This window comes from Homo sapiens, chromosome 9, assembly GCF_000001405.40.
Source record: "Homo sapiens chromosome 9, GRCh38.p14 Primary Assembly".
NCBI lineage: Eukaryota > Metazoa > Chordata > Mammalia > Primates > Hominidae > Homo > Homo sapiens.
In genome coordinates, this window is record NC_000009.12 from 21,967,139 (window position 1) to 21,979,475 (window position 12,337).

A 12,337-nucleotide genomic window follows, 5' to 3' on the forward strand; every position below is an offset into this window, starting at 1 on the left:
TTTTATGTTATGTGGCGTGTACCCTAAAAAAAAAAATAGAGGTGCAGTGCTCCAGCACGGGATGAGGCAGCGTGGACAGGAGCATCTCCCAACCTCAGTGAAGTCTGAGCCGCGTGCCTGCAACAATCCCACTGTGGCAGAGAACCGCAGAGTTCCTTCCGGTTTGGCAGCAGTCATTCGCAACCTCACAGCCCTCTGGAACCCCAGCCTGGGGGTCTCAGAACGCCGAGGCGGGGACTGGGAGCCGAGTCGGATTCCGAGACTATGGGCCAGGGTTGGCTGGATTCAGTTACCTGGCTGAGGCCTGGTGAGCAAAATATCCCAAACCTCGCGTGATCTGGAAGGGGAAGCCGGATAAATACGGATCTCCAGATGTGCCAGTCTCGAGTCTATCGATATGAGGTCCCCCTAGAGTTTCTATTCATCATTTTAACCGCATTTCATCGATCTTGAGACACGGCTTTTGATATTTTATCACCTCAAGATAAATAGTGTTAGATGTCTAATAGCAGCGTTTTTCTAAGAGATACATGAAACAACAGTGTCAGAAACGATGCTGTCTTCCATGCGATGAAATTGTTGTAATAGGTGCTCAATAAATGTTGACAATAAATGAGTGAATGAATGAAAATTATTTTATTTTTATTTGAGCTTTGGTTCTGCCATTTGCTAGCAGTGTGACTCAAGAGAAGCCAGTAACCCCCCTGAGCTTCCCTAGTTCACAAAATGCTTGTCATGAAGTCGACAGCTTCCGGAGGCTGCGAGGCTCGCAAGAAATGCCCACATGAATGTGCGCTTAGGGCGTGAGTGCTCACTCCAGAAAACTCCAACACAGTGAAAAGGCAGAAGCGGTGTTTTTCTTTTTTACATTTTTATAAGAATATATAAAAAATGATATAAATGGACATTTACGGTAGTGGGGGAAGGCATATATCTACGTTAAAAGGCAGGACATTTTTAAAAGCTCTATTTTCTAAATGAAAACTACGAAAGCGGGGTGGGTTGTGGCGGGGGCAGTTGTGGCCCTGTAGGACCTTCGGTGACTGATGATCTAAGTTTCCCGAGGTTTCTCAGAGCCTCTCTGGTTCTTTCAATCGGGGATGTCTGCAGAGGGCAGAAAGAAAACAGGCGTTAGAAACCTGAGGTCAAAGATGTGTGGCACATCCCGCCCTCCTCTCTTGCCGTCCCTACCGGCATTGAAATACTTATGGATAAAGTTCTCGCAATGGCTTCACGTGCATGTACCCGCCGCCACCGCTCTCCCACACCTCCCTGGTCCAGCAGCTAGTCCACTGCCCGCCTGGCTGCTCCAGGCGCGCCGACCGCTCAAGCGCTCCAGGTCCACCCGGCGGAGGGCAGAGAAAGCGCGACCGCGCGGCCCGCAGGGTTGCAAGAAGAAAACGAGTGTTATATAATGAGTCTCAGTGGTTGCTCACAATGCCAGGCGCGAAGGCGTGAAGATGTGGCCTTTCCCTTCCCGCATCCCCAGGCATCTTTTGCACCTGGTGCGGAGTGAGCCAGCCAGCTTGCGATAACCAAAGGGCGCCTCAGGCTCTGGCGCTCCTCGGCGGAATCCCGTAGCTTCCCTACGCATGCCTGCTTCTACAAACCCACAAATGGTTTCCGATCATTTCTGAAACAAAATGGATGCTCATTTATTCATGTGCTCTGGCTTCTGCCTTCCTCTCTAATCTCGTTGCGTATGGGCTCCAGCTCGCCGTTCGGTTCTCCCGAGGCAGCATTTACACTTGAGAGTCTCAAGATTATTTTATTCCTGAGGGAGCATTTGCACTTGAAAGTCTCTTTTTACGTTTATTCCTGAGGCAGCATTTGCACTTGAGTTTCTTTCTCCCGTAGCTTGCATTAGATTCTCCGACCACTCTTTAGCTTCTCCTCCTATTCACACTTCATATTTACCCATTGCATTGGTTTTATAAACTCGCTCTCTGAAAATAGATTGTTATCTTCCTTAACGTCTGTTTCCCAGGTCGGGCAAGATAGCTTGGGACTGTAATCCCAGTACTTTAGGAGGAGGAGGGGGGATGATCGCTTGAGCCCAGATAACATGGTGAGACCTTCGTCTCTATTAAACAAACAAACAAACCCAGGCGTCGTGGCGTGCACCTGTGGTCCCAGCTAGTCGGGAGGCTCAGGTGGGAGAACCCCTTGAGCCAGGGAGTTTGAGGCTGCAGTGAGCTGTGATCGCGCCACTGCACTCCAGGTTGGGCAACAGATCGACTCTGTCTCCAAATGTAAACCCCATGAGGGCAAGACTCTTGTTTGGTCTCATTCACCTTGGCGTGCCCACCACCTAGAACAGGGCTGATCACGCAGTAGAATCTAACCATATAATTAATTGTGCTTGAAGAGGGGGTGTTGGGGAGTAAGAGAAGGAAGGGAGGAGGGAAGAAATGAAAGACTTGTGTGTTTGGATTAAATATATTAGGTTTGGTTAAGAGTCGTTCAGTTTATTCATTTGCTTGTGGCCCAATTCAGTAGTTTTACTCCCTCTCCCACTTGGCTCCTCAGGCTTTTTGCTCAGCCCTGGAACCGCGCTGTAATTGGCAGCTCCTTCTAAATCGGGACCCGGATGCTAGCTGTAACTGGAGCCGAAGTCTCCTTCTTCACCTCCCGGGACCTGGATGCTAGCTGTAACTGGAGGGAATTGGCGGGGGGGAGGGGAGGAGGGGCCGAGTAAAGAAGAACTTCGCGTCTTTAACTTCGAAGGTGATTTTGCGTTCTGTATTTACAGCATCTCCAAGCAGAGGGCTTAGAGCTAACTCTTCACCCTGTCCTCCCCAGCTCCCCTATGGCCCAAGGAGCCCAATGCCCCCGTTCTGGGCCAAAATAAGATGGATTTCATAATCTTCAAGGTCATGTTTTACCTTAAATATTCGTGTTAATTCCCGTGTACTGTTTCATATATCTATTTTGTTTCAAAAAAAAATGTTCCTCCCCCCAGAAACAATTGAGTAATGTTGGCAGTTTCAGCAGACAGCTGTGGGAGTAGGGAACTGGGGCCATGGAATGGGGGCGGAGGGAGGATGCTTTGAGATCACAAAAAGGAAAGGCAAGGGCAAGGAGGACCATAATTCTACCTTCATCGCTCAGCGATCTCTTGCACAAGTTTAAGAGGGAAAGGAGCCAACTCCGGTGCACAGACTGCCAGGGTCAGCGAAGTCTTGGTCCTGATGTCCCCAGAACCCCCTGGGGCAGCTCTGGAAAACTCTACCGCATAAAGCGGAGGGTCAGATTAGCTGAGGAGGGTCAGATTAGTTGAGTTGTGCAGAAGAGCCGAGATCGAGAGATCTCCAGATGATGCCACGCACAATTGGGTTTGGAAATCCTGAGGTTGGTCCAGCCAGCTTGGTATGCAAATGAGGAAACAGACCTGGTAAGTGGATGCAACTGGCCCTAGTTTGGAGGAAGAGGGGGCACTAGACCTCTAGCCTCTTGAGTCTTCATTGCTCCGCAGTCTAGGCCTTGAACTAGCAGAGGGTAGGTGTTTGGGTGGTGGTATGCTTTGGGAAGTATAATGTACAAAATGGGCTTTCACGTGCGCAAGTCCATTTCGGGATTATTTCCCATTTGCCGCCCTGGCGGGGCAGGGCGATAGGGAGACTCAGGCCGTCCCACCGATTGGCGCGTGAGCTGAGGCAAGACCGGAGACTGGTCTCCCGGGCTGAACTTTCTGTGCTGGAAAATGAATGCTCTGAGCTTTGGAAGCTCTCAGGGTACAAATTCTCAGATCATCAGTCCTCACCTGAGGGACCTTCCGCGGCATCTATGCGGGCATGGTTACTGCCTCTGGTGCCCCCCGCAGCCGCGCGCAGGTACCGTGCGACATCGCGATGGCCCAGCTCCTCAGCCAGGTCCACGGGCAGACGGCCCCAGGCATCGCGCACGTCCAGCCGCGCCCCGGCCCGGTGCAGCACCACCAGCGTGTCCAGGAAGCCCTCCCGGGCAGCGTCGTGCACGGGTCGGGTGAGAGTGGCGGGGTCGGCGCAGTTGGGCTCCGCGCCGTGGAGCAGCAGCAGCTCCGCCACTCGGGCGCTGCCCATCATCATGACCTGCCAGAGAGAACAGAATGGTCAGAGCCAGGGTGGGGGCCGGCATGACGGAAAGGAAGCTTGTGTAGAGCCCCCTCACCGCCAAGCAGACCCCCACACAAGCCCCAGGTGTCTAATTACCCCTACATTTGCTTCCAGTTTCCAATTTCCTTCTTGAGTTCTCTATCCATTCTTCAGTACACAATGAATTCCATTATATCCTCCGAACTTCTGCGGAGCTGTCGTCACAGGCAGAGAGCACTGTGAGGCACGGGCAAAATAGCAAAGGGGCAGGGACAGACTGACTTTTACTCCAGGCTAACTTCCTGTATTTCCCCTGAGATACAACTACTGAAATTTCTTCCTGAAATTATGTTAGGCCTGGAGATTTTTTTTTTTTTTTTTGTTCACTGCTGTATATCCAAGCGCAGAATGTGGTAATTGTTAAAAAGAGAAAACTTGTTTGTTTGTTAAAACAAATTCTCACAAAACTTTTAAGTTACACTTAGCTTCTGGGAATGTTGAACTTCAATTTCTTTTTCATTATATTAGTTTTAAAATTATATATTGGGATAGTACAGTTGTATATATTTATGTGGTACAATATGAAGTTATGATCTTTGAACACAATGGGGAATTATTAAGTCAAGCTAAGTAACCTATCCATCATCTCAAATATTTGACATTTTTGTCAAATGAGAGCATTTGGGATTTACTATTTAGCTATATTCATCATGCTATGAAACACATCTCAAAAAAAACAATCAAACTTATTCCTCCCATCTTAACTGAGGCTTTATATCTTGATTACCATCTCCCCATTCCTCCCACCCCCCAGCTCTAGTAACCACCATTCTACTCTTTACTGCTAAGAATGTAATTGTTTTATATTTCACAGATAAGTGAGAACATGTGATATTTGTCTTTCTGTGTTTGGCTTATTTCATTTAGCATAATGCTCTCCAATTCCAAAACTTCAATTTCTTCAAGTATAAAATAAGAAGGCTAGTTTAATTAACCCTAAAATTCCTTCCTGTGGTAGGCTGAATAATGCCCCCCCACCCCCAATGTCTATGTCCTAATCCTCAAAAACTTTTAATACATTAACTTATGTGGCAAAAGAGGCTTTGCAGATGTGATTTAATTAATGGTCTTGAGGGAGATTATCCAGAATTTTCAGGGTGGGCCCAACATAACCCCAAGTGTTTTTATTAGAGGGTCACAGTCAGAGAGAAGATACAAGAATGGAAGCACAGGCCACAGAGAAAATACAGAGACCATGAGCCAAGGAATTTGATGGTCACTAGAAGCTGGAAAAGACAAGGAAACAGATTGCCCCTTAGAGTTTCCAAAAGGAATGAAACCTTGTGGACCCATTTTTGACTTCTGATCTCTAGAACTGTAAAATAATAATTTTGTGTTTGTTTTAGCTAACACATTTGTGATAATTTGTAACAGCAGCAGTAGGAAACTAAAACACTTCCCAGGTTTATGATTTGAGAGTTCATTAAACAAGAGATGGTCACCTCTTTGGTTCCTAAATCATCTTGGAAACAAAGCCATTTCCAGAGAGGAATTTTAAAATACTGTCTGCAGTCATAGCAACCTTAAAATTTGAGTGCTGCATGGTGGAAGTAGACAATTTATTTTAGGATAACTGTTATTTGTTATATTAGTTTGAGGATGGTGGTGTTAAAGAGGAGTTACTTATTTTTAGGTACATTTCATACTAAACACAAATTGCATAATTTGCCTAAATCAAGGAATTATACTAAATTATATTATGGTTATTAAATCCTGTCCTGAGAAAGTGAAACTGACTCAGTTTTCAAAGAGACAAAGAGAAAGTATAAGCAAACCAAATTGCAGCTACAAAAAGAAAGACAAAATGTTGCAGTATATTTATTGTTTTGTGTATTCAATGAAGTCCTTCGTCTTGGTCATAAAACTAGCCTTAAAGGTTTTTCTTATATTTCATAGTATGAAAAATCTAAAAAGTAACCCATATGTAAATATTTAAATCATGATAGAAATCCAAAGCAAAAAGAAAATGAATCAATTGAATTAAAATGTGTAGGATGCTTAAACCCATTTGATAATATATCCATTTGATAATATACTAATATGAATTTAGTACTTTAAAATGTTATATAAATAAATGTTCCTATATTAAACACCAATGTAGTTAGGATTCTAAGCCAACATCATTTCCCCTTTTCTACATGTTCTTCTCCCGTCTCCATTAAAAATTGTCAAAACTATCCACTTTTCTTTTTCCTTTTTGTTTTTAAACAAATAAGGTCTCTTCTAAGATATTGTAGGACTACAAAGCCAAACTCCCGGGTTCAAGCTGTTGGCAAAATTTTAGAGATGCTAAGTTACCCATGTATTAATTACTTTTAAATCCTCCCCTAACTCCCTCACAAAACAGGAGTAGGGAGAGGAGAAACACCTCTGTTCAAAAATGAGGAATTGAAAACTCTTATCACAAATAAACTATATCAAGTAAGCTAAAGATAGTAAAAGAGCAAAAATGTTAGCAGATATTCCCAAAATGGTAACTACATATTACCTCTGGAATGATCACATGAATGTGGCTCATTATTTCCTAAGTTCCTACAGCAAACATATATTTATTTGCCCTACTCAGTTAAAAATAAACACAATATGTAGTTGCTTCTGAATAATTTTTCTCTCTCTCTTTCTCTCTTTCTTTCTTTCGACAAAGTCTCACTCTGTCACCCAGGCTGGAGTGAAGTGGCTCCATCTCGCTGTTCACTACAACCTCAGCCTCCCGGGTTCAAGCGATTCTCCTGCCTCAACCTCCCGAGTAGCTGGGATTACAGGCGCCTGCCACCACCCCCGGCTACTTTTTGTATTTTTAGTAGAGGCGAGGTTTCACCTGTTGGCCAGGCTGGTCTCGAACTCCCGACCTCAGGTGATTCCCCCCGCCTTGATCTCCCAAAGTGAAGGGATTACAAGGCGTGAGGCACCGCGCCCGGCCGCTTCTGAATAATTTCGATCAAAATTTATATTCGATATTTATTCCAACATACACCACAGATTTCCACTGATAATCCCTCCTAGTAAGAAAGATAAGCTCCATCCAGGTATCTGTGAATTGGAGGCTAAGTAGTCCCAGCACATCTTACATTTCTTTAAGACTCCCTTTTTATCCCAAACGTTCGTAAATTTTGTATCTGATAAAGAGCATACTTCCATCTAATACAAATATGTTCCCCCCTTCAGATCTTCTCAGCATTCGAGAGATCTGTACGCGCGTGGCTCCTCATTCCTCTTCCTTGGCTTCCCAAGCCCCCAGGGCGTCGCCAGGAGGAGGTCTGTGATTACAAACCCCTTCTGAAAACTCCCCAGGAAGCCTCCCCTTTTTCCGGAGAATCGAAGCGCTACCTGATTCCAATTCCCCTGCAAACTTCGTCCTCCAGAGTCGCCCGCCATCCCCTGCTCCCGCTGCAGACCCTCTACCCACCTGGATCGGCCTCCGACCGTAACTATTCGGTGCGTTGGGCAGCGCCCCCGCCTCCAGCAGCGCCCGCACCTCCTCTACCCGACCCCGGGCCGCGGCCGTGGCCAGCCAGTCAGCCGAAGGCTCCATGCTGCTCCCCGCCGCCGGCTCCATGCTGCTCCCCGCCGCCCGCTGCCTGCTCTCCCCCTCTCCGCAGCCGCCGAGCGCACGCGGTCCGCCCCACCCTCTGGTGACCAGCCAGCCCCTCCTCTTTCTTCCTCCGGTGCTGGCGGAAGAGCCCCCTCCGACCCTGTCCCTCAAATCCTCTGGAGGGACCGCGGTATCTTTCCAGGCAAGGGGACGCCGTGAGCGAGTGCTCGGAGGAGGTGCTATTAACTCCGAGCACTTAGCGAATGTGGCACCCCTGAAGTCGCCCCAGGTTGGGTCTCCCCCGGGGGCACCAGCCGGAAGCAGCCCTCGCCAGAGCCAGCGTTGGCAAGGAAGGAGGACTGGGCTCCTCCCCACCTGCCCCCCACACCGCCCTCCGGCCTCCCTGCTCCCAGCCGCGCTCCCCCGCCTGCCAGCAAAGGCGTGTTTGAGTGCGTTCACTCTGTTAAAAAGAAATCCGCCCCCGCCCCGTTTCCTTCCTCCGCGATACAACCTTCCTAACTGCCAAATTGAATCGGGGTGTTTGGTGTCATAGGGAAAGTATGGCTTCTTCTTTTAATCATAAGAAAAAGCAAAACTATTCTTTCCTAGTTGTGAGAGCCCCACCGAGAATCGAAATCACCTGTACGACTAGAAAGTGTCCCCCTACCCCCTCAACCCTTGATTTTCAGGAGCGCGGGGTTCACTAAGTCAGAAACCCTAGTTCAAAGGATTCCTTTTGGAGAGTCGGACTGCTCTCTCCTTCCCCTCCCCTTCCCCTCCTGCGTGTAAAACGGCTGTCTGGGGCAAGGGTTTCTCAGACGTGTACATTGCCTGGTATAAGAGCAGACTCTGAAAAGATGAGGTTTATTTAATACGGACGGGGGAGAATTCTGCCTGTAGGCAGATAGGAAAATGGGGAGGGAGTCATTGGAAGGACGGACTCCATTCTCAAAGTCATAATTCCTAGACCAGAAAAAGTGCTCAGTGTTCTAGAAGCAGAGTTGCACAGTGATCCAAAGACCAGCTTCAAATACTGTCCTGTCTCCTTCACACTTCTCACATTTCTCTTTCCTACTGAAAATACCTTGCATTTTTCGTAATTATAAAGGGGGAAGGGAATATGAGTGCCCCCTGCTTTATAGGGGTTGTTGTGAGTTTAAATGATGTATTAATACATATAAGCCTTAAGAACAGTGCCACACATCCTAAGCTAATACCTGTTAGCTCTTGAATTATCCGCTTTGAGGACTGGCTTGCAATCTTGTTTTGAGGCATAGAAAGAAAATGCTTTGGAGCAGGACGCGGTGGCTCACACCTGTAATCCCAGCACTTTGGGAAGCCGAGGCGGGCAGATCACCTGAGGTCAGGAGTTCGAGGCCAGCTTGGCCAAAATGGTGACACCCCGTCTCTACTAAAAATACAAAAATTAGCTGGCCATGGTGGCGCACGTGTGTAATTCCAGCTACTCAGGAGGCTGAGGCAGGAGAATCGCTTGAACCCGGGAGGCAGAGGTTGCAGTAAGCCGAGATCGCGCCACCACCCTCCAGCCTGGGTGACAGAATGAGACTCCGACTCAAAAAAAAAAAAAAAAATGCTTTGGATAGAATTATCACTATTACATAAAAGGAAAGTCCGGATGCGGTGGCTCACGTCTATAATCCCAGCATTCTGGGAGGCCGAGACAGGCGGATCACCTGAGGCCAGGAGTTCGAGACAAGCCTGACCAACATGGCGAAACCCTGTCTCTACTAAAAAATACAAAATTAGCGGGGCTTGGTGGCGCATGCCTGTAATCCCAGCTACTCGGAGGCTGATGTAGGAGAATCGCTTGAACCCAGGAGAAGGCGGAGGTTGCAGTGAGCCGAGATCGCGCCATTGCACTCCAGCCTGGGAGACAAGAGCGAAACTTGGTCTCAAGAAAAAAAGAAAGAAAGAAAGAAAGAAAGACCAAGAAGAACTTACTCCCTGAAAAGATTATGGGCACCCTCCACCACCCTCACTTACAAAGAAAAGTTAAACAGCACTAAAGAGTATAACAAGCGCAAGGAGGTAAAAGTTCTAATTTTTCCTGTGACTACTACTTTTTAAGCTTATCAAAAACATGTACTACGTTTTAAAAAATGGATTGCTCAGACTTTGCTGATGCCTTAAGCACATGCTTAATCTGCCTACTGGATAATCCAGCTCTGTTTAAAAGTTATATTTCAATCCCTGGTTGACTTAAACCTTGTAGACCCAGTATATCTTGTACTTTTAGTGTCTGCTTGATTTTAAAACATGTAGTTTTTAAAATGAAGCCAATGAAAACAATTTGGGATGTCAAGTATGTTATTAAAATCTACAATGCATTACTGTACCATTTATATTTTCCTCGGGGTACCTCTCAATTAGCTGTGTAGCAATGATAGGGAAAATTCAAACTATCGATAAATAAAATTATTTTAGTTTAGTTTAAGATATTTTATGATGGAGGAGGAAGAAAGTGGTTGCCAGGATGGGAGGGAGGGAACACATTTCCATCACTAATACAATGGTTCTTTCTTTTTGTTTGTTTGTTTTGTGTGTTTTTTTGAGATGGAGTTTCGCTCTGTTGCCCAGGCTGGAGTGAAATGGCACCGCACGATCTCTCTCGGTTCACTGCAACCTCCGCCTCCCGGGTTCGAGCAATTCTCCTGCCTCAGCCTCCCGAGTAGCTGGGATTACAGGCACATGCTGCCATACCCAGCTAATTTTTGTATTATTAGTAGAGACGGGGTTTCACTATGTTGGCTAGGCTTGTCTCGAACTCCTGACCTCAGGTGATCCACCCACCTTAGCCTCCCAAAGTGCTGGGATTACAGGCATGAGCCATCGTGCCCGGCCTACAGTGGTTCTTAATGGGGGTGGGAGAGTGGGAAGAGTAGGCTCCTTCAAGAGTCTGTTGAAATAAATACCTTCTTCTCAAAAAAGAAAGTAGGTAATGATTTTTTTTAAAAAAGATGTGTTCACTTGCACATGTATTTCTAGATAAAACTTTCAGTGAATTCAGGGATTTCTCTGAAACTCTACCATGGATTCCTACATCAAGAACTCTTTCAGCTCTTGTGAAAAATATATATAGCTATTGGTGAAGAAGATGGGAGATGCAACCATATAAAAACAACATTTGGATGCATTATAAACAGGTGTAAAAGTTGACTGCTTTGGAAATACCAAGAACAAGTTTTAGATATGTATATCTCATATCTTGCAGTAGAGCTCTGGAAGGATTATGGCATCCTTGGGTGGGGCCATTTTGCTCTAGAAATTGAAGTCCATTATCCATTATAAATCTTATGTAGGGGGGAGGGGGGAGGGATAGCATTAGGAGATATACCTAATGCTAAATGATGAGTTGATGGGTGCAGCACACCAACATGGCACATGTATACATATGTAACAAACCTGCACATTGTGCACATGTACTCTAAAACTTAAAGTATAAATAATAATAAAATTAAAAAAATATTATGTAAATAATTAATAATAGTGGGAAAACTTTCCTAGTTTTTCTGTTAAAGAGCCCATTATACTCCCAGTTTACTCATACATATCGACCTGAGGTGCAAAATCCTAGAAGAATGAAAATATAAAGTCCTGGATCTCTGTGCTCCTTATGCCAGTCTCAGATTTCCTATGTGCAAAATGGGATTATAATATATTTCATGTGGCCATAAAATATGATAATGTATGTCCAAAAGCTTTTAATGTAAAAATTTACTACATTTACTAAATTTACTAAAGTTTGTTGGTTATTGTTATTATTATTCTCACACTTACTTTTCCTCTTTCCTGAGAATGCCATTCTTTTTTTAGATTTGCACTGCCTTTGCAGTTTTGAAAATTCTACACGTGAAATTTAAACCTGTCTTAATTCTGATCAGTCTTATAACAAAAAAAGACTACCACCTGTTCATTCATTCAACAAGCTCAGAAACTAAGGGCAGACATGGGGTGGGGGCAGAGGGGAGTAGGTCAAACATAGTATCTCTACAGTCAGACTGCCAGGGTTCAAACCTCAACTGTTCCACTTATTGGTTCTTTAACTTTTATCAAAGTTACTCAACATGTCTGGGCCTCTGTTTTCTCATTTGCATGATTAGGATAATAACTGTACTTGCCTCAAACAGTTGTTTAGGGATTAAATGAAGCATGTAACGCTCTTAGAAGAGCAAAATAAAGCACAGAATGATACAAGAAAATGAAAAGGTGACCAAACTCATTCTCATTTGTCTCTAGTAGGCAAAGGCTTCCGGATGCTGAGAGCTGATCCCAGTCTTGAAGAATGATGTGAGAGTTTAAAGATGGAAAAGAAGGAGAAAGATATTCTAGGCAGAGGTAAGAGGATGTGCAAAGGCATAGAAGTTTAGGAAAACTGAAAGTGATTCATTTAGACTTATTCCTGAAAACCAGCCTGTGAAGGACTCCTCAGAGAGCCAAAAGAAAAACTAGGATAATGGGATGGCAAGGAAGTGGGGACACTGCGTTGACTACTCTTTCATAGCTTGGTTGTGATAGTTCAAGGCCCTATGCCATGAAGTGAGGCAGATGGAAGGTGGAGGAGACCTGAGCACACATATACCTGGAAGGGCAAGTGCCAAGTGAAGAGAAGGGAAAGTTAGAAAAGAATAAAAGAAAAGTTAAGTACACAGGC

The 12,337-nt window shown here is 45.4% G+C and overlaps 1 protein-coding gene and 1 long non-coding RNA gene across 11 annotated transcripts in view, besides 4 other annotated features; one reads left to right on the plus strand and one right to left on the minus strand.

Moving 5' to 3' along the window:
• On the plus strand, window positions 1–616 carry CDKN2A-AS1 (CDKN2A antisense RNA 1). Its single transcript, NR_024274.1, has one exon. It is a non-coding gene; the product is annotated as a CDKN2A antisense RNA 1 (long non-coding RNA).
• The window catches only part of CDKN2A (cyclin dependent kinase inhibitor 2A), a 27,573-nt gene continuing 15,849 nt past the window's right edge, over window positions 614–12,337 (minus strand). For 3 of the 10 annotated variants that reach the window (NM_001363763.2, XM_047422597.1, NM_058195.4), the window contains exons 2-3: window positions 3,764–4,070; window positions 614–1,104 (exon numbers count right to left, since the gene is read on the minus strand). In NM_001363763.2, coding sequence (NP_001350692.1) covers window positions 1,091–1,104; window positions 3,764–4,067 — 318 coding nt within the window. In that variant the 5' untranslated portion in view covers window positions 4,068–4,070 and the 3' untranslated portion in view covers window positions 614–1,090. The other 7 variants (NM_001195132.2, NM_000077.5, NM_058197.5 and 4 more) reach the window with 7 other exon arrangements.
• Window positions 1,754–2,667: an enhancer, noted in NCBI's record as "H3K27ac-H3K4me1 hESC enhancer chr9:21968891-21969804 (GRCh37/hg19 assembly coordinates)". NCBI's record gives its function as "activates a minimal SCP1, AML or CMV promoter by ChIP-STARR-seq in primed H9 embryonic stem cells {active_cell/tissue: H9 hESC(primed)}" and the evidence as "EXISTENCE:reporter gene assay evidence [ECO:0000049][PMID:30033119]".
• Window positions 7,677–7,726: a silencer, noted in NCBI's record as "silent region_19811". NCBI's record gives its function as "represses an Ori minimal core promoter by ATAC-STARR-seq in GM12878 lymphoblastoid cells {active_cell/tissue: GM12878}" and the evidence as "EXISTENCE:reporter gene assay evidence [ECO:0000049][PMID:35858748]".
• Window positions 7,947–8,046: a silencer, noted in NCBI's record as "silent region_19812". NCBI's record gives its function as "represses an Ori minimal core promoter by ATAC-STARR-seq in GM12878 lymphoblastoid cells {active_cell/tissue: GM12878}" and the evidence as "EXISTENCE:reporter gene assay evidence [ECO:0000049][PMID:35858748]".
• Window positions 8,227–8,276: an enhancer, noted in NCBI's record as "active region_28244". NCBI's record gives its function as "activates an Ori minimal core promoter by ATAC-STARR-seq in GM12878 lymphoblastoid cells {active_cell/tissue: GM12878}" and the evidence as "EXISTENCE:reporter gene assay evidence [ECO:0000049][PMID:35858748]".